This window comes from Homo sapiens, chromosome 2, assembly GCF_000001405.40.
Source record: "Homo sapiens chromosome 2, GRCh38.p14 Primary Assembly".
Lineage (NCBI taxonomy): Eukaryota > Metazoa > Chordata > Mammalia > Primates > Hominidae > Homo > Homo sapiens.
Window position 1 is genome coordinate 112,343,814 of NC_000002.12, and position 27,358 is coordinate 112,371,171.

The 27,358-nt window shown below is 41.9% G+C and overlaps 1 protein-coding gene, 1 long non-coding RNA gene and 1 pseudogene across 4 annotated transcripts in view; 2 read left to right on the forward strand and 1 right to left on the reverse strand.

The window, feature by feature from the left end:
* Positions 1-1,572: 1,572 nt before the first annotated feature.
* LOC124906067 (uncharacterized) lies at positions 1,573-24,763 on the forward strand. The gene is made up of 2 exons (XR_007087191.1): positions 1,573-1,943; positions 22,050-24,763. It is a non-coding gene; the product is annotated as an uncharacterized LOC124906067 (long non-coding RNA).
* Positions 2,232-3,092, forward strand: LOC100418696 (axin 2 pseudogene; annotated as a pseudogene).
* The window catches only part of RGPD8 (RANBP2 like and GRIP domain containing 8), a 65,277-nt gene continuing 62,474 nt past the window's right edge, over positions 24,556-27,358 (reverse strand). For all 3 annotated transcript variants that reach the window (NM_001164463.1, XM_024453101.2, XM_047445676.1), the window contains one exon: positions 24,556-26,399. In NM_001164463.1, coding sequence (NP_001157935.1) covers positions 26,365-26,399 — 35 coding nt within the window. In that variant the 3' untranslated portion in view covers positions 24,556-26,364. The remainder of the gene's footprint in view (positions 26,400-27,358) is intronic.

A 27,358-nucleotide genomic window follows, 5' to 3' on the forward strand; every position in this document is an offset into this window, starting at 1 on the left:
GCTCTTAAACCAGTTTGGGGTTTAATGTTTTTGTCTTGCTAATCAGTGGGTATGAGCTAAGGAGGAAGGCCAGACATGTTATAGAGCAAATTGGGCATATTCTTTCCACTTCTGAGTTTTGTGAGCTACTATTGTAGCAGCAACCCAATACACACTTACTGAAGACTAGTCTACTTCCTGCCAAGCAGCTGGAGTGTGAGGTGCTCCAGAGCTCACTACAACAGACTGGGCAACAGAAGCTAAGTGTTTTCTCTGAGGCCTTAGCTGCTATTTCCATTAAACACTGGCCCAGAGAGTCTTCCTGATGTCCCAAAGGGTGTGCAATTCTTACACAGAGTCCATGGTTTACTAACAAAATATCTCACTCAATGTCTGAAGAGGCAGTGTTGGCAATTTAGTTACTGGCATCCACTTCCAAAAAGGCAGACACTGAAAATTTTGTAATGCATTGCTCAAGAGGGCTTCCATACAAGTAGAAAGGCAGAGAGGGTGGCATGGGTGAGGCTGAGCAAGCATAGCTGGACGATAATTTAGGTAGGAAATTAAAATGAGTCCCAGAGGAAAAACAGATGTGCAGGCTGAACTGGGATTTTATGTGATAAACTGAGTATAGAAAACAACTGAAACTGACATCACTGGCCCAGCTAGCAGTGGGGTGACCTCACCAAGGATTATATTCAGTTTCATAATTGCTGTAAGACTAGTTTGGAAATTTTAAGTTACTAACATTATATCAAGTTCCTATCTATGGGATTTGTTTATCTCCTCAGTCAAATATCCTTAGTTTGAAAGATAAAATTTATCCTTCCAAAATCAAAATTATAAATATGTATTTGTCTGGTCTATGTATGCATTTGTTGTTTAAACGTGCATGTGTGTGTTGTACTGATATACCAGCTGTACCAGGTGTACCTGATACCAGATGTACCAGGGTTTAGTCTGGTTTTAGAATTGGTGCTAGTTGCTTTTTGGGTTCAGATAGTTAGTAAAAAAGTACCAGTTCAGTTCAGAGTTATATGCAGGAAGTCAAGAGAAACACCCTAATACTCATTATGTGAATTAAGTGTAAACCATCTCAGGAGGCTGCTAAGTCTCATAATAATGCTACAGAAGAAAAATGTTTTCCTTCTCCTTAATATATTAACACAAGTTTTCTGGGTATTACAGTCTGAGTGCTATTTTATCTAACCCTTAAAACGACCAGGACGGAGAGGGTGAGGAAGAACTGCCTGCCCAGTCCTCTTTTTCTTTTCTAATCTTCAGACTTATCTAGGTTTTTTACAATTTTTAACCAGTTTTTACCTTTCTTCTCTTTATTTCAGAGAAAGAGGTGTCTGTCCTACCTCCCCCTCACCTCGACTTTTTTTTTGAAACCGGATCTCGGTTGCTCAGGCTGGAGTGCAATGGCATGATCTCGACTCACTGCAAACTCCACCTCCTGGGCTCAAGCGATTCTCCTGCCTCAGCCTCTCGAGTAACTGGGACTACAGGTGCAAGCCACCAACGCCTGGCTAATTTTGGTATTTTGTAGAGACAGGGTTTTGCCAGTTGCCCAGGTTAGTCTCTAACTCCTGGGCTCAGGGATCCGCCCACCTCGGCCTCCCAAAGTGCTAGGATCACAGGCGTGAGCCACCGTGCCAGACACCACCGCCCGTTTTCGAATCCATTTGGCACCTCCTTCGCCTAAGAATTTGCTTTTCCAGGCGTCCCCTTTCTGTTCCGTCTCTGTACTGCACTAACTTCACCTATACACAGGTCTGTATCCTCCTGTTAAAACCACTGACCAGGACTGCCGCTTCTGGGTGCGATACAGTAACAGGCATTGGATTCCTCCTCTTCCCTCAAACAACTAGAAAGCTGGAGGAAATAAACGACGTTACTGTTAGGCATTGGATAATAGGCCATGAAAGATACGGATCTATTAAAAAAAGAAAACTAATCAGGTAAGCTCTGCAATCGCCCCAGCTTTTTCCCTGTAGTTCCATTCTTGACCACAGAGCAGGGCATCCCGGGCAGAGCGCAGCTGCGCAGCAATCTTGCTAAATGGAGCAGAGGTGGAGATGAGAGGAGCAAGGGCAGCTGCGTGGGAGCACTGCCGAGGAGAGCGCTGGCAGGCACAGAACTCCAGACGTCTATGTAAGGGTCCTCTGCAGTTTTTGTTGAATACTAAAATGTGTATTTGAGCTGCCTTCCCATGCAGGATAAAGAGAAGGAAAGGTCCAAGCTAGTGGGAGGGGGTGCCCACCCAGCACTCCCTCGCCCTCCCTGTCCCCTGGCAGCCACGAGGAAGACAGGCAGACGATTCTGGATGACCACCTGTCCAGGGTCCTCAAGACCCCTGGCTGCCAGTCACCAGACTCAGGCCACTACCACCTCCTGCTCCTGCACTCCAGACTACCACCACCACCACCACCACCACCATCACCACCAACATCACCATCACCACCACCATCACACCACCACCATCACCACCACCACCATCACCACCATCACCACCACCACCACTGCCACCATCACCACCATCACCACCACCATCACCACCATCACCACTGCCACCATCACCACCATCACCACCACCACCATCACCACCATCACCACCATCACCACTGCCACCATCACCACCATCACCACCACCACCATCACCACCATCACCACCGCCACCATCACCACCATCACCACCACCATCACCATCACCACCACCACCACCAGCAACACCAGCAACACCACCATCACCACCATCAGCAACACCATCACCATCACCACCACCACCACCATTACTACCATCACCACCATCACCATCACCACCACCATCACCACCATCACCATCACCACCACCACCACCATCACCACCAACATCACACCATCACCACCACCACCACTGCCACCATCACCACCATCACCACCACCATCACCACCACCACTGCCACCATCACCACCATCACCACCACCATCACCACCATCACCACTGCCACCATCACCACCATCACCACCACCATCACCATCGCACCACCATCACACCACCACCATCACCATCACCACCACCACCAGCAACACCAGCAACACCACCATCACCACCATCAGCAACACCATCACCATCACCACCACCACCACCATTACTACCATCACCACCATCACCAACATCACCACCATCACCATCACCATTACCACCACCATCACCAACACTACCACCATCACCACCACCACCACCATCACCACCACCATTACCACCAACATCACCAACACTACCACCATCACCACCACCACCATCACCACCACCACCATCACTAACACCACCATCACCACCACCACCACCACCATCACCAACACCACCATCACCACCACCACCACCATCTGGTCTGGTATCCTCATGAGCCGTCTTGTGCCTAAGTAGCAGGCCTATAATATTGCATGATTCTCTTAGGGGGCCATTTATCATGTTTTCAATTTCTTATAGCCATGTTTCTCTTTTCGTGGGAAGCATAGACAGGGAAGCCTAGGATTTCGCCTGTTTTTATGGGCAGTAAGAAGAAAGATGGTTTAATAGTGCCAGTAACACAACTACCTGCCTGCTGGTCGGGTAATTTGGCGTAAGCTCTATGCCTACATATCCAGTACAATCTAGTGGGGGCTGTCCAGTCCCGGTGGGACTCTGGGTGGGTCCACACAGTTTGCAACTTTGGGAATTTACTAAATGGATTTCTCTCTGTGTGATTTGAACTCCACCAAGTGACTGTTTTTGTGGTACCATTATACACTTTCTGTCTCAGATAACTAAGTCATCCTACGGGGTGAGTGAATTCTCTTCCTTCTCTAGCTATGCAATATTGTCCAATAATTGAGGCTTTTAGGACCTAGAAATTATCAGGGTGATTCTTTTGAGCTGGGAATTCATCAGGAACTTGGTCTGTAGGTACTAATTCTTGGGCTTCCTGTGGCCATTGATCTCCCATTACAGTTTCTCCACGTACATAACATGAAGTGACATTGAGAGACTAGGCTACATGCTCGGCTAATTGCAAAAACAAATTTCTTGTTTTTCCTGGAATTTCTGATACTGGCACATTTAGTTCATCATAGAAAGTTTAAAACACGGCCGGGCGCGGTGGCTCACGCCTGTAATCCTAGCACTTTGGGAGGCCGAGACGGGCAGATCACGAGGTCAGGAGATCGAGACCATCTTGGCTAACACGGTGAAACCCCGTTTCTACTAAAAATACAAAAAATTAGCCGGGTGTGGTGGCGGGCGCCTGTAGTCCCAGCTACTTGGGAGGCTGAGGCAGGAGAATGGCATGAACCTGGGAGGTGGAGCTTGCAGTGAGCCGAGATCACGCCACTGCACTCCAACCTGGGAGACACAGCGAGACTCCGTCTCAAAAAAAAAAAAAAAAAGAAAGTTTAAAACACTGGCTTAGGAGAGCATTTATAAACTTCTCCTCAAACTAAGATGTTTACTTGAGGATCCAGTCTGGCCCCGTAGATTCTTAAGGTCACACTCTCCTCTTTTTTCCTGCGAGGATCACGGGGATTGGTTATTACTAGCTCTAAGGGGTTACATTGTCCCTTAGTACAGGAAGGGCCATTTTTTCCTTTCTGAAGGTGGACTGGATCTTTTTCATTTTTTTTTTCTAAGTGGCCTAAATGACACAAGACCAGTATTTATATTTATTTCCACACAGTCCTAATTTATGACAGATGTACTTATTTTCTGCCATATAGCCTCTTTTCTAATTAAGACAACCATGCCTTATTCCTAACTTATTACTATTAATGACAGCGCAGACATTAACTTTTAAGGTGACTTGTTTGGGCACCCCTTTTTCTTCTGTTTTAGCTAACACTTTACTCGTATCGTTTATGAGCCCCCACCAGTCCTCAGTCCTTAATCTTATTTTAAAAATTGTGGTCATGGGAGGCTGAGTTGGGTCATAACACACATCAGGTTGGTCATTTCCTGGGCTACATACCTTGTATAGAATAACATTATACAAACAAGTTCTTTTTAGAGTTCCAGTACACTTATAATAACCACAAAATAATAGGACCGTAGCAACTTTTTGTCCTACCTCAGTGACTTGTTGTATACACTGGGAATAGTCCTCGGTCTGAGGAAGGTCAGTTGAAGTCCTTACTGTAAAAGTCTAAATTTTAAGGAAAATGAGTCCCGCGATGAGTTTTCTCATGCTTTGGCCATGCGTGGACCAGTCAGCTTCCGGGTGTGACTGGAGCAGGGTTTGTCGTCTTCTTCAGAGTCACTTTGCAGCGGTTGGTGAAGCTGCTCCTGTCCACGTACCGTTCACAGTCTACTGATGTTTAAGGATGGTCTCGGAGGTTGGGCCTGCTAGAATAAACTGAGTCTAACACGTCTATACGGTTATGTTCAACTGGGCTCTCTGATACCGGGAGCAAGGTGGTGGGGCTTAGGGTGTTGCGAACTTCAGTGGTTATGTGGGAATTTTCACATAGGTTAATCTAGCATTTGTGAACTAATGATGTCCTTTGGTAGTCATTAAAGTTACCACAGCATGGGGGCCTTTATATTCAGGTTTTGCCTAAGGGTTAGTTTATCTGCTATTTGTGCTAACAGGGCCATTTCTGCTAGGGCCCTTAGACCTGGGGGCCAGCCTTTGGAAACCCTGTCTAGTTGTTTTGAGAGATAGGCCACTGGCCTTGGCCAGGGCCCCACAGTCTGGGTTAAAACTCTAACTGCCATTTTTTCTCTTTCTGACACATAGGGTGTAAAGGGTTTTGTCAGGTCAGGTAGCCCCTGGGCTGGGGCCGACATGAGTTTTTCTTTTAACTCATGAAAAGCTCGTTGCTGTTGGTTGTAATAGATGTAGTTTATCTAATCTACATTTTTATTAACTGTCACCTACCAAAATATTGACTCAAATCCTGCAGCTATTTGGTTTCAAGCTTTAAATTGATCTGGTATTCCTCGTAGGACTCCAATTGCATGTAAATAGACATGAGAGTCAAAAGACCTATAAGGGACTTCTCTCCCTTTACGATGTCTTATTTTTTTTTCTTTCTGGTTGATGAAATGCCAGGGTGAAAGGGATAGTCAACTGGACTAAAATACAAGTGCCACTCCAGTTATTCGGCAGAGTGCCTACTAAAGGTCCACCACAATACTACCACACATCCGCTCGGGGGTGAACAAGGGCTGAGTGATTGATAAGCTCTTGAAAATTCTTAAGCTCACTGCATCCTTTCAGGTCTCCAAGGAACACTAAGTTTCCTACTTGTCATGAGAGACACAAAGTGAACTCAGTGTTGGGAGACGGAGGCTGGATGGCCTTCAAGGGCTGACCCACAGGGTGCCGGACTTTGGGATATAGCAGAGAGAGCTTGGCACAACTTATTACTTCAGGCTGTAGAATCCTGGAAAAGGGCTACCATGCAGCCTACACCTGGTCAACTGGATGACCACTTTAGTGGAAAGGGGACAATCTGGGCCTCTGGCCTGCCATGTGCACAAGCATAACAATTATTTTTGTTTAACATGCAGGTGGAATATTTGATCCCTTTTAACCAGGCATTTGCATCTTGGTGTCTTGTCTTAATTGCTAAAGTTTGTTTTAAGTCTTTAACTTCTATGATCCTCTAGTAAAATGAATGTATGGTTTTAGGAAATTGCAAAAACCTGTTGGGGCAGTCCATCCTTGCTCTTTACTGGTCCACAGAACGTTGGACCAACTATGGCATGAAAGGTCTACATGGGGGGGCAAGACTCCTGGTTGACACTGCGGTCTTTATAGACATCTCCCTGGATTAAATGGTCCTAGTTTACTAATGCCCAGTCTGAGGAGAGTCAGGCGGGACAGAAGTACTTTTCTGAAGTAGAAAGCTGTCTTTGACTTGGCAAGTCCCCACAAGGTATAAAAAGGCAAGCATTAAATGCAATAGTTTGAGGTGAAATTGACTTGGTTGTTAATAACTGGATGGTCAGCAATAGAACGAGGAAAGAAGGAAGAGTAATAGACTAGATAAAAAGAGTTAAATTTTTCTTAGCTTTAGTTTGTTAGGGTTTTCCCCTGGGACTATGGCCCACAACTCTGGAGGGGGTGGCGCTTTCTTGACTCGGGTGTGATGATGAGGCCATCCTTTTTTTTTTTTTTTTTTTTTTTTTTTTTTTGCTGTACGAATAGCAGTCTTGGTGGTTAGCAGCACAAGGTAGGGTCCTTCCCAGGCTGGCTCGAGTTTTTCTTCTTTCCACCTTTTGATGAGAACATGATCTTCAGGCTGGTGGTGCTGGTTTACCAGAAATTCTAGGGGTCGTACATGTGCTAAAAGACTTTTAGTTTTTGAGAGAAAGGAAAGTGAAAGATAAACCAAGTATATAATTTTTAAGAAATTGACCTTTTGTTTCAAATGTGGGGACTTTGGCAGTGGACTTTATAGTCCTTAGTGCCTTTTTACTGAGAAATTTCCTTTAGCACCTGTTTTTATTAGTTTTTAAACCAAAAAAGCCAAATACCATTTTACATTTAACAATGCTTCTTGTATGATTTTTATATCAGATAAGCTAAATTTTATCTTTATATTAGTGTGTTATTAATATTAAATGTAATTTTAATAAAAGCTTGTAGACATATTTATCTAATTTTTAATGTTTGACCATAAAGTAAGATTTTATAGACTCTTTTTAACCTTTTATAACTTTTGCTAAAGAGCAGGTTGGTGCTTTAAGAAAAACCTATTATGCTTTTACTTTAATGTCCAGTTCACAGAAAAACTCAATGATACTTCTTTAACTGTAGCTAATATGTTTACACACATAATTTTCTTTACAATTAATGTTTTAAAACTTGCTTAAACTTTCAAAACAATAGTTTTTTTTTTTAACTTTTTAATGTAGGTAAGAATGTACATTCTTATGCCCCCTTATAATCCTTTTACCAAAGGTATAGTATACTTTTCTTATACACCTTGCACATAAACTGTTTTTTTTTTAAATAGTTTTACATTCAGGAGGCCTAGTTACTTTTAAATTGTACAACATTTTTTACATAAATTCTTTTTTATAACTTTTTCTCTTTCATGACTTTCACAGACAATTCTTCAACATGGCTTAACTTTCTGACTTATTACAAATATTTCTTTCTTTAAACAACCAATTAATTTATTTCAGGACAAGAATTTACCATATAATACTCTTTTCATATAAATTCTGCCCCGCCTTTTTTTTCTTTTTTTTTTTCCTTAGGATACTTTTGAACTGGTGAGGTGTGCTCACAATGACCTTTCCTCTAAAAGTTATTTTTTTTACTTTTTCTTTTGTTGTTGTTAACAACGCAGTTGCCGCTACAGATTGAATGCATTTGGGCCATCCGCGGGTTACTGGGTTAAGGATTTTTGATAGGAAGGCCCTTTTGGGATACGCCCTTGTTTACACTGACAACAAAGTGGCATTGGAGTGTTATAGGGTTACAGAGAATACCTTCAATTATCAATTATAGGTTTTAAATTTACCTTGGCTTTTAAAGAGATAGGGTACACCTTTTTTTTTTTTTAACTGCTTGTATATCTCTCTTTCTTTCTCTCTCTGACTTTGTCTCTCTCTCTTTGACTTTCTTTTTGACTCGGTCTCTTTTTCTCTCTTTCTCTCTCTCTCTCTCTGCCTCTCTCTTTCTCTCTCTCTCTCCTTGACTTCCTCTTTGTCTGTCTCTTCCTCTCTGTCTCTTCCTCTTTCTCTTTGCCTCTTTTCCTCTCTGTCTCTTTCCTTTATCTCTCTCTGCTGGTCTTGCCAGCTGCTTATGCTGATGTTCTTTCAACCACTGTGTGTTGGGGGCATGGGGTCTAAAACTAGCTGTAACCAAGTGTCTATGTACGGGAACTGGTCTGGGTTCCCAGGCTTACAGGTTGTCTTGTGCCATACCTTTGAAACAAGGGACTTACTTGTCCAGGCTTCCTTCTAATGGCCAACCTACCTCTAATGCTGGCCAGTCTATCTTACACAAAGTTTTAAGTTTTCCTGGTGTCACAGTACTCCATAGTCTCTTTTAAATTCTTTTTTGAAAATTTTCAACTTAGTTCCTAGTAGGGTGGGCTTATTGGTGCCTGACCTATGCTTCTTCGAGACAAAACACCACGCTTACACCACACACACACCATAAAACAAAGAACGGGTAAAAAGGGCACACACACACTTTTGCAGTTTGCACCAAACCAAAATCAAAACTAAAATCAGAGTATCCAGAAATCCAAGCCAGGTCAAAACCAAAACCAAAGTATCAAGCAATCCAAATCAAGTCAATAACAAAAACCAAAGTGCCGGTACGGGCACACCGTGGGTGATCAGGCCATGCTTCCACTCAAATGGAGTAGGCAAGTTCCTAAGACCAATCCTGTCAAGCAATTCAAACCAAGTCAAAACCAAAACCAAAGTGCCGATAAAGGCATGCCATGGGTGATCAGGCCACGCTTCCACTCAAACGGAGTGCGCAAGTTTCAAAGACTAGTCTTAACAAGTTTTAGATGTCCAGACTCCAAGTGCCTGTTCCTTCCCAGTGTTCAGCCACTGCGTTGATCCTCCATGGGGGCCTGCCACACACTGCTCTGGTGAGGCATCCCACCGGGGCAAGTGCCTACCCGGGAGCGCTCTCAGGATCCGCTCGGGCTGGTCGGAGTCCCCCGCAGGGATGTTCCACAGGGCAGGCTTAAGCCGCCTAAGGAGCTGCCTCGACCATCTGCCAATCACCTCGCTTCCCGGTCAGGGAACCGAGAAATGTAGCAGGACCAGCCGCAGACAAAACTCCTCAGACACCGAGTTAAAGAAGGAAGGGGCTTATTCAGCCGGGGGCATAGGCAAGACTCCTTTCTTAAGGGCCAAGCTCCCCGAGTGAGCAATTCTTGTCTTTTTTAAGGGCTCACAACTCTTAAGGGGGTGTGCGTGAGAGGGTCGTGATCAATTGAGCAAGCAGGGGGTATGTAACTGGGGGCTGCATGCACTGGTAATTAGATCGGAACAATACAGGATAGGAATTTTCACAGTGCTTTACTATACAGTGTCTGTAATCTATAGATAACATAACCGATTAGGTCAGGGGTCGATCTTTAACTACCAGGCCTAGGGTGTGGGGCCGGGCTGTCTGCTTGTGGATTTCATTTCTGCCTTTTAGTTTTTACCTTTTCTTCTTTGGAGGCAGAAATTGGGCATAAGACAACATGAGGAGTGGTCTCCTCCCCTAAGCCGAGATCGTGCCACTGCACTCCAGCCTGGGTGACAGAGTGAGACTCCGTCTCAAAAAAAAAAAAAAAAAAAATTGAAAACAGACGAATGTACAAGGAGAGTCATTGCAGTTTTGTTTTTAAGAACTGAGAAAGTTTATTTATCCAGGACATTGTTTAAGTAAATTACGGTTTCTACCAGGAATACTCGGCAGCTCTTAAATAAGAATAGCCAATAAGTATATGAAAAAATGCTCAACATCACTAATCATTAGGGAAATGCAAATCAAAACCATGGTGAGATATACCTCCTACCCTTTCAGATGGCTACTATCAAAAAAACAGAAAATAATGTTAGCAAGGATGTGGAGAAATTGGAACCCTTGTGCACTGTTGGAGGGAATGTAAAATGGTGCAGCTCCTGTGGAAAGCAGTAAGGCAGTTGTTTAAAAAATTCAAGATACAGTTGCCATGTGATCTAGCAATTCCACTTCTGGATCTATATCCCAAAGAAGTGAAAGCACGGTCTTGAAGAGATATTTGCATGTGCACATTCATAGTAGCATTATTCACAATAGATGAAAGGTGGAAGCCACCCAAATGTCCAGAAATGGATAAATGGATAAATAAAATGTGGTACATTCATACAATTGAATATTTATCTATTCACCCTTAAAAAGGAAATTCTGGCTGGGCGTGGTGGCTCATGCCTGTAACACCAGCACTTTGGGAGGCCAAGGCAGGCAGATCACCTGAGGTCAGGAGTTCGAGACCAGCCTGGCCAACATGGTAAAACCCCATCTCTACTGAAAATACAAAAATTAGCTGGGCATGGTGGCGGGCGCCTATAGTCCCAGCTACTCCGGAGGCTGAGGCAGGAGAATCACTTGAACCCAGTAGCTGGAGGTTGCAGTGAGCCAAGATCGTGCCATTGCAGTCCAGTCTGAGCAACAACAGCAAGACTCCATCTCAAAAAAAAAAAAAAAAAAAAAAAGGAAGGAAATTCTGACTTATGCTGCAAAATGGATCAACCTTGAGAACGTTACACTAAGTGAAAGAAGCAAATCATAAAAAGGACAAATACTGGGCCAGGTGCGGTGACTCACACCCTGTAATCCCAGCACTTTGGGAGGCCGAGGCGGGCAGATCACGAGGTCAGGAGATCGAGACCATCCTGGCTAACACAGTGAAGCCCTGTGTCTACTAAAAATACAAAAAAAATTAGCCGGGTATGGCGGTGGTGCCTGTAGTCCCAGCTGAGGCAGGAGAATGGTGTGAACCCGGGAGGCGGAGCTTGCAGGGAGCTGAGATTGCGCCAGTGCACTCTAGCCTGGGCGATAGAGCAAGACTCCGTCTCAAAAAAAAAAAAAAGCTAACTTGAAAATTGAAGTCCCTATAATCCTACTTCCTAGATAGAATCAGTGATCTTGCACTTTTAGTGTTATTTTCTGTCAATCATAGTTATGTGTATCCCAATGTAATACATATATTACTTAACATGAAAAATTTTAAGCACATAGAAATTTAAAGGAAATATGCTCATCTGTGAATATTATAAAGCCACCATCTAGATTTAGCAGTTAATATTTTGCAGTGTTTAAATTTTTTTCACTGTAGTTTGAAGTAAATTACTTTAAACTTTTCACCCCTAAATACTTTAGAATGCATCTTTTTTAAAGAATGAATTCTTTCACAATATAATCACACAATTTTCACACCTAACACACGTAACAGTGCTTTCTAAATGTTGTCTAATAACCAGACTATATTCACCTTTCCCTTTTTGACCCCAAAAAATGTCTTTGAGAGCTGGTTTGTTTAAATAGGGTTCTAATTAAGGAGCATAGGTTGCATTTCATTGTTTGTCTCTAAGCTTTTAAAAATCAAGTGTAGTACCTGGCCCCCCCTTTTTTTTTCTTGACTTTGAACTTATTGGAGAGACCTAGCCAGTTGACTTACAGAAGTTGGGTCAATGTTCTCACTTTCTGTATTTATCTGATTGTTTCCTCATGGTGTCCTATAACTGTATTCTCTTTTATTTCCAGTAAAGCAGAATTTTAGGCTTGAACACAATTACATTAAACATGTTGGACAACAATTCTTCACCATTGATACCATTTTCTTTCTTTCTTTCTTTCTTTCTTTCTTTCTTTTTCTTTTCTTTTCTTTCTTATGCAGTTTCACTCTCGTCACCCAGGCTGGAGTGCAGTGGCACGATCTCGGTTCACTGCAACCTCTGCCTCCTGGGTTCAAGTGATTCTCCTGCCTCAGCCTCCCACGTAGCTGGGATTACAGGCGCTCGCCACCACGCCCAGAAAGTTTTTGTATTTTTAGTAGAGATGGGGTTTCACCATATTGGCCAGGCTGGTCTCGAACTCCTGACCTTAGGTGATCCACCCACCTCTGCCTCCCAAAGTACTGGGATTACAGGCATGAGCCACCACGCCCAGCCTGATGCCATTTTCTTCACATAATACCTAGTGTACCCACTATTAGAGATTCTAAGATTATAGGGTTAACTATCCATTTATCTTCTTGCCACTGGAAAGTATTCTATGGGTTGAAACACTGAGATCTTTGACATCTTTCCCTTAATGGTTTTAGCATGCAGTAATGATTCTTTCTCACTTCAGTTACTTAATTAGAAGTTGCAAAATGGTGATTAAATTATCTTCTTTTTTCTACATTTATTAACTGTCATTCTTACCTCTAAAGAACTTTCCCTCATCCACTGGGGTTATTTTGTATCTAAAACTTAGTTCCACTGCAGAGAAAGAATACATTATTCTTTATTTACCTTTAATTACCAAGTTTTAGCATAAGAACTTGAATAACAGCCACCCCCATCAGTGATGAATAAGATGGTTTGTTTTCATCTTTATTGAGTATGATTATGGACTCAAGAGTTTTTATGCTTTAAATGTCTTCTAGTCAATTATGGTTCATTACTCTTATTGATGCTCAAACTGTCAAAATGTTCCAGATTTGGCCAAGGGGAGTCCTTTCTGTTGGCTCCTGGGACCTTTTCATATGACTCCATTAGTCTTTTAAATGACTCTTTTCGTCTTTTGGAGTTTTAATATAACTTCATTAGTCCTGGTTCACTTTGTACATTCCTTACCCCAGACCTGAAATAAGCATCTCTCAAGCCTCCTGATTCCTTTTACTATGGAATTATATTTACACATTTATGATTGTTATGTCTTCTTGTTGAATTGACCCTTTAATAATTATGTAATATCCTTCTTTATTCATGGTAATCATCTTTGTTTGAAGTCTACTTTGATATTAATATAGACACTCTCATTTCCTTTTTCTTTTGCTTGTTTTTTTAGATACAGGGTCTCATTCTGTTGCCCAGGCTGGAGTGCAGTGGTGTGATCATAGCTTGCTGTAACCTCAAACTACTGAGCTCAAGTGATCCTCCCACCTCAGCCTCCCAAGTAGCTAGGGTACATTATACCATGCATGCCACCATGCTGGGCTATTTAAACTTTTTTTTTTCATTTGTAGAGAAGGGACCTCATTCTGTTGCCCAGGCTGGTCTGGAACTCCTAGCCTCAAGAAATCTTCCTGCCTTGGCCTCCCAAAGTGCTAGAATTACAGGTGTAAGCCACCACACCCAGCCTAATTTCCTTTGATTAGTATTTGCATTTTTCCACTTTTAATTTTATTTTTCTCTATATATATTTTTGATATGAAGTCTCACTCTGTCACCCAGGCTGGAGTGCAGTGGCACGATCTCAGCTCAGTGCAACCTCCACCTCCGAGGTTCAAGTGATTCTCCTGCCTCAGCCTCCCAAGTAGCTGGGACTACAGGTGCGTGCCATTATGCCTGGCTAATTTTTTGTATTTTTAGTAGCGACGGGGTTTCACCGTGTTAGCCAGGATGATCTCGGTCTCCTGACCTCGTGATCTGCCTGCCTCGGCCTCCCAAAGTGCTGGGATTACAGGTGTGATCCACCAAGCCCAGCCCATTCTTTTAATCAATTAAGTCTTTATATTGAAAGTGATTTTCGTATAAATAACATGTACTCGGGTCTTGTCTGTTTAATGTAGTCTGACAATCTCTGCATTACAGTTGGTATATTTAGACCATTTACATTTAATGTAATTATTGATTTGGTGGGATTTAGGTCTACCATTTCTAATCTGTCATCAAGTTCACAAACTCCTATCATTGTCATCTGCATTCTGCTATGTAGCCCATCGAGTGAATTTTTGAAAATTATTAATAATACATTTTATTGTTTGAGCAATTTCAGCTTATCAGAAAAGTGAGCAAACAGAAGAGAATTCCCATATGCCCTCTTACCCCAAACCCTCCCACCCCCGTTTCCCTTATTATTAACATCTTGCATTAGTATAGTACATTTGTTATAATTGATGAGCCATTATTAAAACTTTATTAACAATAGTCCTTTGTGGATTACATCAGAGTTCATTCTTGGTGTTGTATAGTCTATGGGTTTTGACAAATGTATAATGACATGTATTCATCATTACAGAATCAAACAGAATAGTTTCACTACCCTAAAAATCAGCTGTTCTCCACCATTTATCCACCCTCCCCACCCCCAACTCCTAACTCCTGGCAACCACTGAACTTCTTACTGTTTCTATGGTTTTGCCTTTTTCAGAATATATATATATATATATATAATATTATATATGATATATATTATTATATATCATATATAAAGAACTATTTTTTTGCAAAGATTTTTTTCCCATTTAATGGCTTACCTTTTCATTCTCTTAACAGTGTCCTTTGTGAGCAGAAAAATTTAATTTTAGTAAAGTCCAACTTACCAATTTTTTCTTTTATGAGTCATGTTTTTGATGTTATATCTAAAAAGTCATCACCAAATCCAAGGTCACCTGAGTTTTCTCCTATGTTATCTTCTAGGAATTCTGTAGTGTTGCATGTTACATTTAGGTCTATGATCCATTTTGAGTTAGTTTTTGTGAAAGGAGTGAGATCTGTGTCTAGATAAGATATACTTAGGCAGGCCCAGTGGCTCATGCCTGTAATCCCAGCACTTTGGGAGGCCAAGGCAGGCAGATCACCTGAGGCCAGGAGTTCGAGACCAGCCTGGCCAACATGGTGAAACCCCATCTCTACTAAAAATACAAAAAATTAGCTGGGCTTAGTGGCGGGGGCCTGTAATCCCAGCTACTCAGGAGGCTGAGGCAGGATAATCACTTGAACCCAGGAGGCAGAGGCTGCAGTGAGCTGAGATTGCACCATTGCACTCTAGCCTGGGCAACAAGAGTGGAACTCCACCTTAGAAAAAAAAAAAAGATATACCTTGATGTAGCATTTTTGTTATTTATCCTATATGGTGTTTTTTGAGCTTCCTGGATCTGTTCCTTTATGTCTACCTTAGTTCATTTGGGCTGCTGTGACAAAAATATCATAAACTGGAGAGTTTATAAACAACAGAAATTTATTTCTTACAGTTCTAGGGGCTGTGATGTCCAAGACCAAGGCACTAGCAGTGTCTGGTGAGGCCCTGCTTCCTCATATATGACACATTCTGGCTTTGTCCTCACATGGTGTCAGGGGCTAGCTAATTCCCTGGGGCTTCTTTCATAAGTGCACTAATCTCTGTCCTGAGGATAGAGCCCTCATAACCTGATTGACTCCCAAAAGCCCCACCTCAGTACTATCATATTGAGGATTAAGTTTCAATATAACTTTTGAGGAGACACAAACATTCAGACCATAGCTTTATCTATCATTAATTTGGGGAAATTTTCAGTCACTGTTGCTTCAAATGTTTCTTCTGTTTCTTTCTCTCTCTTTTTTTTTTTTTTTTGAGACAGAGTCTTGCTCTGTTGCCCAGGCTGGAGTGCAGTGGCATGATCTCAGCTCACTGCAAGCTCCTCCTCCCAGATTCATGCCATTCTCCTGCCTCAGTCTCCCGAGTAGCTGGGACTACAGGCGCCTGCCACCACCCCCTGCTAATTTTTTGTATTTTTAGTAGAGAAAGGGTTTCACCGTGTTAGCCAGGATGGTCTCGATCTCCTGACCTTGTGATCTGCCCGCCTCAGCCTCCCAAAGTGCTGGGATTATAGGCGTAAGCCACCACGCCCGGCTTTCTTTCTCTTTTTCTTCTCTTTCTGGTATTTCCAAAAAGTCTCCGTGTTCCACCTTCTGTAATTGTCTCGCAGTTCTTGACTCTTGTTCTGTTTTTTCTTTTTCATTCTTTTTTCTCACTGTGTGTCAGCTTTTGAAGTGTCTATTGACATCTCTTCGAGCTCACTGATTCTTTCATTGGCCATATCCATTCTTTTGATGAACCCGTCAAAGGCATTCTTCATTTCTGTTATGGTGTTTTTTATTTCTAGTATTTCATTTTTATTTCTTCTTAGTGTTTTTATCTCTTTGCTTACATTACCCATCTGTTCTTGCATGTTATGCTGTTTTTACATTAGAGCCCCTAGCATGTTAATCTTAGTTATTTTAAATTCCTGCTTGGACACTTCCAATATTTCTTTCATATCTGAGTCTGGTTCTGATGCTTGCTCTGTCTCTTCAAAGTGTGGGGTTTCTTGTCTTTTAGTATGCTTTGTAATTTTTTGTTTGAGGCTGTATATGATGTACTGGGTGAAAGGAACTGAGTTAAATAAGGCTTTAGTATGAGATTTTGTATTTCTCTGGCTAGGAGTTAGGCTTTGTTTACTCTTTGCTATATAGTCATGGATGTCAGAGGCTAAAATTTCCTTTAGTGTCCCTGTGTTGTCTCCCCTGTCTTCTCTGGGGAGCTCCCTAGAGGCTTCTTTGTAAAGTAGCTCTGAGTCTTGCAGTGTCTATCCCTAATCATGGGAAAACATCAAACAAACCCATATAGCAGGACATCTGACAAAGTACCAAGTGTCAAGGATCATGGATTGAATCCTGAAACAGAGGAAGGACACTGAAGGAAAGACTGGGAAAACCTGACTGAGGTCTGGAGTGTAGTTAGTGATACTATACCAAGACTAATTTCTTAGTTTTGATAATTTATTAACAGTTATGTTAACATTGGGGGTAGCTGTGCAAGGGGTGTGAGAAAGCTGTTATATCTTTAACCTTGGCCCATGGTTAAGGTGTTTCCAGTGTAAGGTCACTGTTATTCCTTGTAGTTAACATATATTTGGCACCACAGGATTCATTCTGGAATTCTTGGCTTATTTATAACTTTTTTTCTTTTTCTAGTAGTGAGAAACCTGGCTTTCGTGCAGAGTTTACAAACGCCAATTTAAACTTTTGTTTTGTCATAGGCAATAATTTTATTACCTTTATTACCTGTATTTATTTCAGAGCTTATGAATTTTTAATTATTCTAAGGGCTAACACAGAACTTTTTCATGTTTTCTACTCTTCAAGAGCAGGTAAGACTTTAGTTTGTAATACATTACAAGAGGAATCCTGTGGTTCTCTAAGAGCTAATTTGTCTTGGCAAAAGGCCTTAGCGAGCTGTGAGTGGTGGCTCATGCCTGGAATCCCAGCACTTTGATCTGAGACGGCTGGATCACCTGAGGCCAGAAGTTTGAGGCCAGTTTGGCCAACATGGCGAAACCCCATCTCTGCTAAAAATACAAAAAATTAGCCAGGCATAATGGCATGCACCTGTAGTCCCAGCCACTTGGGAGGCTGAGGCAGGAGAATTGCTTGAACCTCGGAAGTGGAGGTTGCAGTGAGCCGAGATCGTGCCACTGCACTCCAGCCTGGGAAACAGCGAGACTGTCTCAAAACAAACAAAAAAAAACAACAAAAAAAAAACAAAACAACAAAAAAATTAGACGGGCGTGGTGGCATGCACCTATAGTCCCAGCTACTCAGGAGGCTGAGGCAGGAGAATCACTTGAACCCAGGAGTTGGAGGTTGCAGTGAGCAGAGATCATGCCGCTGCACTCTAGCCTGGGTGACACAGTGAGTATCCATCTCAAAACAACAACAACAACAACAAAAACAAATTAAAAAACCCAACAACAACAAAACCAGCAAACAAGAAAACTAAACAGGCTTTAGGGAAAGAGCAATCTAATTATCTGATTATATGATTGGCACTAAGATGGGAATGACTCTGGCCTAATTTCTTCAATTTACATTTTAAAACAGGAGCTTAGTTAGCCCCCAAATAATATGTAATTGATGTATTAGGGTTGGGGAGTGAATATTTTTCAAAGCAGAAGATATTTCTCAATTCTTGCTTACTTTTGGAGGTTGAAGTTCAAGGAAGCCCCTGCCTTGGCACTGTATTCCAGGGAGGTATTTGGAGTTAATTTCAGGGCTTAGCAGTGACTCTTTAGAAAAGCAGTATACGATTGAAATGTAATGTGGTACAAATGAGATCACTACAAGTAATTTAAAAATGTGCTAGTAGTGTTTCTTTTTCTGAGACGGAGTCTCGCTCTGAAGCCCAGGCTGGAGTGCAGTGGCACGATCTCGGCTCACTGCAAGCTCCGCCTCCCAGGTTCGCGCCATTCTCCTGCCTCAGCCTCCCTAGTAGCTGGGACTACAGGCGCCTGCCACCACTCCTGGCTAATTTTCTGTGTTTTTAGTAGAGACGGGGTTTCACCGTGTTAGCCAGGATGGTCTCGGTCTCCTGACCTCGTGATCCTCCCACCTCAGCCTCCCAAAGTGCTGGGATTACAGGAGTGAGCCACCACACCCAGCCTCTAGTAGTACTTTTATCAAAAGTAAATAGAAACATGGAATTAATTTTCACAATACATTTTATTTAAACTAATATGTTCACAATGTTAAAATTTCAACATGTAATCACTATAAAAACTACTAGTGAGATATTTCACATTACTTTTTTCATGTAAGCCTTTGAAATCTGGTGTGTATTTTATATTTACTGTACATCCTGATTTGGAATAACCACATTTCAATCTTTCAATAGCCACATGTGGCTAGTGGCTACTGTGTTAGAGCAGTTCTAGAACAAAGGAGTCCCTTTCAAACTATTTTGAAGTCATCGTCTATAAGGCAATATGAAAGCTGATCTGAATGATTTCTCCTTTTCCAGGAAAGGAAACAAAAATGAAATCATGTTAGGGCTGCATATTTTATGGGTCCCAGGACAAATAGACATAGTCTGAAAGAATGATCTCAGTCAGAAACTCAGAATGAATCATATGAATTAAACATTGGACAATGTCCAATGCTCAGCATGTGTTTTTGGTTTATACTAAGAACATATTATGCCACCAAATACAGATATTTACTATTATACTTAGTGTAGGAGGTATATTGAGACATTGTTCTACACTACCACAGTTCCATATTTTGTGAAAAGCTATGTTGCACTTTTTTTTTTTTTGAGAGTGTGCCCAGGCTGGAGTGCAATGGCATGATCTCAGCTCACTCCAGCCTCCGCCCCACCAGGTTCAAGTGATTCTCCTGCCTCAGCCTCCCTAGTAGTTGGGATTACAGGTGCGCACCACCACGTCTGGCTAATTGTTGTATTTTTAGTAGATACGGGGTTTTGTCATGTTGGCCAGGCTGGTCTCGAACTCCTGACCTCAGGTGATCCACCCGCCTCAGCCTCCCAAAGTGTTAGGATTACAGGCGTGATCCACCACGCCCAGCCTTATATTTCACTCTTTGGGAATTGTATCTTACTGTAATCTTAAACTACACTAAAATAAATAATGTAAACCTTTTGTCAAATTGCTCAGAGTAGGTTTCTACTTTGGTTATAAGGAATAAAATTCATGCTTTTGTATACACACTAGACATCTAAAGCAATCAACTATAGTTAACAAGCAGTGCTCTTACCAAAAGGTAACTCTTTCTAGAATCTGTCACACCATTTAATAGCAGTATGAGCATATGGTGGGTTTAATAATTGTTTTCCATGTTTATAGGTTTTCTTTAGTTTTATCAGCACTTAAAAAGAATCCCTTTCACTGAAATACAATCTGTGGTGAGACTTCTAGCTTTTCTCGATCTTACGCTGCCAGATTTATGTCACTGCCAAAGCTATGCAATGGGTGATATTTACACTGTGCTCAAACAAAGCAACCAGAAAAACACATCACTGAATAATACAGATATTCTGAAGTCAAGCAAGCCAACTTTCATTAACAGATCAATTTCCTTAGAAAAGTTGATGAAACTAAAGACTGAAGTTCAAACAAAAAGCCCTCTCAAGGGGGTATGAATTTCTGGTAACTTATGGGGTAAGAAAAAGAGCAAGAAACTTGAAAGTAGGGAAGAGAAAAAAGAAAAGGAGCAAGAGGGGATAGCCAGCTCTCAAAAGAGTCTCCAATAGGAAAGCAAAATCTGTATCTAGCCAGTACCAACATGTGAAGAAAGAGTGAGCATAGCAAAATTTAGAAAGGTTGCTTGAAAACCAAACAAAAAACCAAATACCTGTAATCCTAGCACTTTGGGAGGGTGAGGTGGGCAGATTGCCTGCACTCAGGAGTTCAAGACCAGCCTGGGCAACATGGTGAAACCTTGTCTCTACTAAAATCCAAAAAAAAAAAAAAAAAAAAAATTAGCCGGGCATGGGCTGGGCGCGATGGTTCACGCCTGTAATCCCAGCACTTTGGGGGACAAAGGTGGGCAGATCACGAGGTCAGGAGATCGAGACCATCCTGGCTAACACAGTGAAACTCCATCTGTACTAAAAATACAAAAAATTAGCTGGACGTGGTGGCGCGTGCCTATAGTCCCAGCTACTCGGGAGGCTGAGGCAGGAGAATCGCTTGAACCCAGGAGGTGGAGGTTGCAGTGAGCTGAGACCATGCCACTGTACTCCAGCCTGGCGACAGAGCGACACTCATCTCAAAAAAAAAAAAAAAGTCTCTTTTGGCCAGGTGTGGTGGTTCACACCTGAAATCTCAGCACTTTGGGAGGCCGAGGTGGGTGGATCACTTGAGTCCAGGAGTTCAAGATCAGCCTAGGTAACATGGCAAAACCTCGTCTCTACCAAAAACAAACAAAAATTAGCCAGATGTGGTGGTGCACACCTGTAGTCCCAGCTACTTGGGAGGCTGAGGCAGGAGAATCACCTGAGACCGGGAGGCAGAGATTGCAGAGAACTGAGACTATGCCAAGGCACTCCAGCCTGGGTGACAGAGCAAGACTCTCTCTCTCTCTCAAAAAAGAAAAAACAAAAAGCCTCCTTTAAAAAATGCAGTTTGATGCTATAAATTTATCAGTTAATAGTTTTTGGGGCAAAAAATGTTTTCTGACATTTCAATAAGAGCTATAGACGAAGTCCAGCATTAGTCATGACTCTGGACTAAGTCTGGAAATCTGGAATCTCTTCCCAGCTCTGGGAGGTACAAAGTTTTAAAAAATAAGGTCAAAGTGCTGGAAAACATTCAATTTATTTCCTTATTAACACAATTGTTCACTCATAAACGACAGTAACACTTGGTGCTGTGGGTCATGCACTGAGGTCAGAACAAGGAACAGAAGAAAATGAGGTAAATTGGTAAATCTTTTTGCAGGCTGAGAAGTGAGAGAATGCTGGCATGCCTACTCTGTGCTGGGTTTTTTTTTTTTTTGTTTTTTTTGTTGAGATGGGGTCTTGCTCTGTCGCCCAGGCTGGAGTGCAGCGGCGCAATCTCGGCTCACTGCAAGCTCCGCCTCCTGGGTTCACGCCATTCTTCTGCCTCAGCCTCCCAAGTAGCTGGGACTACAGGCACCTGCCACCATGCCTGGCTGATTTTTTGTATTTTTAGTAGAGACGGGGCTTCACCGTGTTAGCCAGGATGCTCCCGATCTCCTGACCTTGTGATACGCCCACCTTGGCCTCCCAAAGTGCTGGGATTACAGGTGTGAGCCACTGCGCCCAGCCCTCTGTGCTGGGTTTTATTATGTCATCCAATAACTCACAACTATGTAATTTATTTCCTTTTTACAGATAAAGAAATGGGGGCTCAGAGCAGTCAAGAACATGCCCCAAGTTATTCGTCAGTGAGGCAGAAATTGTGGTGTCCTTGTGTAAGTTCACAGTTTATACTTTACCATTATACTGTGCTCCAAATTATCTGATATTTACTTTCAAAGCATGTGTAGGAAGTTTACTATGATGATGCAGAGACATTGTACAGAATCCAGTCCCTTGACTCTCAGGTCCCCAGAACACTCACTTCACGATTTTGTTGACCTCTTATGTCAACTTAAACCTGGCACTCTCTTGGCTTTCTCTGCTCTTTCTGGGCACTCCAAAGCTTCTGTACTTACATGCTACAACTCCAGTCACAGGAAGATGCTGAGTTCTTTAGTCCCAGATCCATATTCCTGAGAAAACCTAATTGCCTAGGCTCAGGTCATAACTCTGTGTCTGTTTCAGTTGATTATGGCTGGGCCTACTGCCCCTCTGTATGGTGGTGGGGCAGAAGTTCCCAGAGAGAGGCAGGGGTGACAGAGACTGTTGTCTCAAATGCTAGGCAGACATCTGGAGTGGTAACCACTACATCTGTTCACAGTGAGCACATCCTTGCAGGGAAACTGGGTTAATCATCTCTATTATTGAAACTCAGAGGTATAGTGTTTCTTCATAGGAATTTTCTTTCCTTATTTGAGATGGGGGTCTCACTTTGTTGCCCAGGCTGGAGTGCAGTGGTGTGTGATCTTGGCTCACTGCAGCCTCCCCTCCCGAGTTCAAGCGATTCTCCTACCTCAGCCTGCTGAGTAGCTGGGACTACAGGCATGGGCCAACATGCCTGGCTAATTTTTGTATTTTTCGTAGAGACAAGTTTTCACCATATTGGCCAGGCTGGTCTTGGACTCCTGACCTCAGGTGATCTGCCCACCCTGGCCTCCCTAAGTGCCGGGATGACAGGTGTGAGCCATCGCGCCCAGCCTATTTATAGGAATTTTCTGTAGGTATATAAGTAATAATTTGAAGGTCACAACTAGATGACTTTTTGTGTAACCGTATCTTGAATGGAACAAACATTTTCTTTCTACGTAATTATACATAAATAACCCAATGCTTTTTAATACCCACGAAAAGCCATTAGCTCAAAGACACTTGCAAACTTGTATCAGGTTGTTTTCCTTGGTGTGTATTAAGTTTGAAGCAAAGGGGATTTTCACATACCAAGACGAAGCAGAAGTCTTCCACCAAGTTGAAATCATCACGTTGCAATTTAATCATATGATACAACCAATTTTTTGATGTGTTATGCCATTCGCCAAATACCATACAAAGTACGGTATGCCTTCTCAGTGCCTTGTTAGTAATTCAGTTACAGTTCTGCCGAACTTTCTTTAAAGGAATACAATTCTCAATCTTACACTGTTCAGAGCACAAGCATAGCTTATTGTATACAAGAGATGTGCATCAGTTCCCACTCCTCAGGGACTGTATGAATTTGGCTTTCTTTTATTTTTTTGACAGAGTCTCACTCTGTCGCCAGGCTGGAGTGCAGTAGTGTGATCTCAGCTCACTGGACTCTGCCACCTGGGTTCAAGTGATTCTCCTGCCTCAGCTTCCCAAGTAGCTAGGACTACAGGTGCACACCACCATGCCCAGCTGATTTTTTGTGTGTTTTTAGTAGAGACGGGGTTTCACCATGTTGGCCAGGATGGTCTTGATCTCTTGACCTCATGATCTACCCGCTTTGGCCTCCCAAGGTGCTGGGATTACAGGCATGAGCCACTGTGCTGGGCCAAATTTGGTTCTTAGAAACCAAGGAGTGATGTGTGCACCAGGCCCAGGGCTGAAGAGCTGCTTCTCACTAGATGCCTCTCTTGGTCTGGCTGCTGTGTCCAGTCCTATCCAGGGTTAGCTCTGTTCCTCCTCCTTGTGGCATCTGTGTTTCTCTTTCTGCTCTGCCTCTCCCCATCTCCTAGTCCAAACATCCAAAGAAATAAATTACCTCCAGGAGATCGAGACCATCCAGGCTAACACGGTGAAACCCTGTCTCTAGTAAAAATACAAAAAATTAGCCGGGCATGGTGGCCGGCGCCTGTAGTCCCAGCTACTTAGGAGGCTGAGGCAGGAGAATGGCGTGAACCTGGGAGGCAGAGCTTGCAGTGAGCCGAGATCGCGCCATTGCACTCACGCCTGGGCGACAGAGCAAGACTCTGTCTCAAAAAAAAAAAAAAAAATTAATGACCTCTGCCCCTAACTGAACAAAGCCCTTCATCTAAGGCCACCCTTTGGTTGGCAGCCTTAGCCAGACATCTGCTTCTGGTCAAATCAATGTCTTGTCCACAGGGAGGCCCAGCGCTGTTTCTGGTTTTAGCTGGATGCAGGGTGTCAGACATGGCAGGTACTACGGTCTACCTGGCGGGTATCAAAGAGTTGGTCGACGTTCTCACAACAACCTAATAGGGACCAACCATGGAAGGCCAGTAGTAAAGGAGTTTGAAGTTCCCTTTCAGAAACCAATTAACAACCCCAAAGAGACAGTGGGTAACATAAAAGAGCAGCCATAAAAATATACAGTTTTAATAGAAATATTAAAATAATCATTACACTTCCTCTCATTGCAGAAACCATGAAAGAATATGCCTTTTGTAATCAAAGTAATTTTTTATCATGCAAAAAAGTATTTTGTTATGACATTCGTAAGTGGAGACTGTATTTCAAAACAAGTTTATACAGACTTCAAAAGGTCTAAAGTCAAAGTGAAATATATTTAAATATGATTAGTTACATCTAATGCAGCTGGCATACTCATATTCACAGTTTATAAAGTAAAAAAACTAAACTCTTCATGTCGGCTCTGAAATAGATGCATTTTCATTCATACATTCGCTAGTTAGGTCTGTTCTTCTAAGGAGGAAAGACGAGATATATGAGATATTTTTTAAAGAACAAACTCAACATATCAGCAGCAAATTTCAGTTAAACTAAATTGGAAACCAATGTTCTGTGTAACCAAAGTGCAAAGTCAGTTCCCCAGCTCAGAAAGAAAATTAAGAGTATAAACTGAAGGCTTAAGAGAACTTCAGAGAGCACACTGTGTGATTAATACATAAATATTAAAAATTATCCAATTTTTGATTTAAGAACAACACAGTTTGGATCTAGTCATTAAAACATATGCACAGGTGTCAAAGGCAAGTAACACTACCACCTAAGGTTATTCGGAGGAACTGTGAAGATGTAGCACGGACCTCTAAGGTGTCTAAAATCCCTTCTGATGGAAAGGTTATGGAACACTATCTGCCAAAAACACTGAAAGCACCACTTTTATATTTAGATCCAATGCTGAGTGATATAGTCACTGTTGGGATAGGTTTTTATTTGGGAAAATGGAGAGGATTCTCAAAACAGATTCATGGCTTGCATGCAGTGACACCCTATCAAGAGCCTGGAAAGACACCATGAAATCACCTCAACTCAAGTGGTGGGCCCACCTACTCATAGTCAGTGTTACACTAGCCAGCTCTAGGGCTCTGACAACATAATGAGTTTTGAGGTAGTATACTTTAAAGAAAAAAAGAAGAGTTTATTTTAAAGCAAATAACTAAACTGTATTTTAACTTAGCACAATTAACTGCAGCATATTTACTTCATAGCCCCTTAACATGTCACTTTTACCAACAAAGCTTTTTCCTTCATATTCTAATCACAAAAATTTCTCAACAATTTATAACAATCTGTAAATCTGACCTTGCAATAAATAGTCATAAAACGTTATTTTTATTACTATTATTATTTTTAGAGACAAGGTCTCGCTCTGTTCCCCGAGCTGGAGTGCAGTGGTACAATCACAGCTCACTAGCCTCAAGCGATTCTCCAGCCTCAGCCTCCCAAAGTAGTGGGATTTCAGGCATGAATCACCACACCTGGCCTTGAAACATTATTTTTAAAGCCTAAATTCCAGTTGGTATGGTACCAAAATTTAGTTTAACTTCAAAATTCACAGTACTGCCGAGAAATGGGCGGGTCCTGAGGTTCCAGAGAAGTGGGGAGTGAATTCATTCCTGGTGGTTTTATTCTGGCAGCATGCATGGGAGATCACATGAGTTAGAGGGCTGTGGCCTGGTATCAACACTTCAAGCTGTTGTACTTTTACTTCAAGTTGAAACTTTTAAAATACATCTGTCATACAGATGTACAAATATATGTAAATGCAAACACATATACACACTTTTTGACAAAAGAATAATGGTAACACACACGAACCATTTTTGTAAACAGATTCTATTTGGTTAATAGAAGTATTCCTTCCATCAACCTATCGAAGTCCAAACCAACTACGAAGATAGGATGCTCATCCAGAAGAACGGGAAGGATTTTCTTCCTCATCTTTAGAAAGTAAAACAAAGAAAAAAAAAAGAAAAAAGAGAGTATTAAAATTTCTCAATGTAAAATCTATATTTTAGAACCACTCTACAATATAAGCAAATAATGTCTTTTTTACTGATCACATGCCTTTTTTGGTGGGGGGGGGGGTTCTTTTTTTTTTTTTTTTTTTTTTTTTTTTGAGATAGGGTCTTGCTCTGTCACCCAGGCTCGAGTGCAGTGGCGTGATGAGACTTCAATGCAGCCTTGATCTCCCAGGCTCAAGTGATTCTCCCACCTCAGCCTCCCAAGCAACTGGGACCACAAGGTGTGTACCACCATGCCTGGGTAATTTTTTGTTTTTTTGTAGAGATGCAGGTCTCACTGTTTTCCAGGCTGGTCTCAAATTCCTGGGCTCAAGTGATCCTCCCACTTCAGCCTCACAGTGTTGGGATTGCAGTCACGAGCCACTGTACCCAACCATATGTCATTCTTTAGACACACTGCTTACTAAATTTCTCTTTTTAAAGGATATACTGAATTTCCGGTTGAGCCAACTTAACAGCTAATTTTCTATTTTAGCTTTAAAACATTGATAAGCAACATGAAGCAATCTAGAACTTAACCTTTAAATGGCTTTATTAAAGCAATCCAGCTATGAAAATTATGCAGAAATGATTATCTACAAACAATCTTACCAGCACATAAGAAATTCTTCCTCTATTCTGAAATACCATCTTCTCACAATATACTTTGATGTTATGAATCAATGTCTGTTCTTGAACATTATTTATTGTCTTTCTCTATTAAACAATTCCAAAATAAAATTTCCAGCACAACTAAATATTGTTGACGATAAGAGGATTTTAAAAAAAATTCTTTTAAAACAGAAGCTTATATACAACTTAGAATCTAAAACCAATAGATTTATGGGAAACCTTAAAACTGAACCACAACAAACAAAAACCAAAGTTTTAATCATT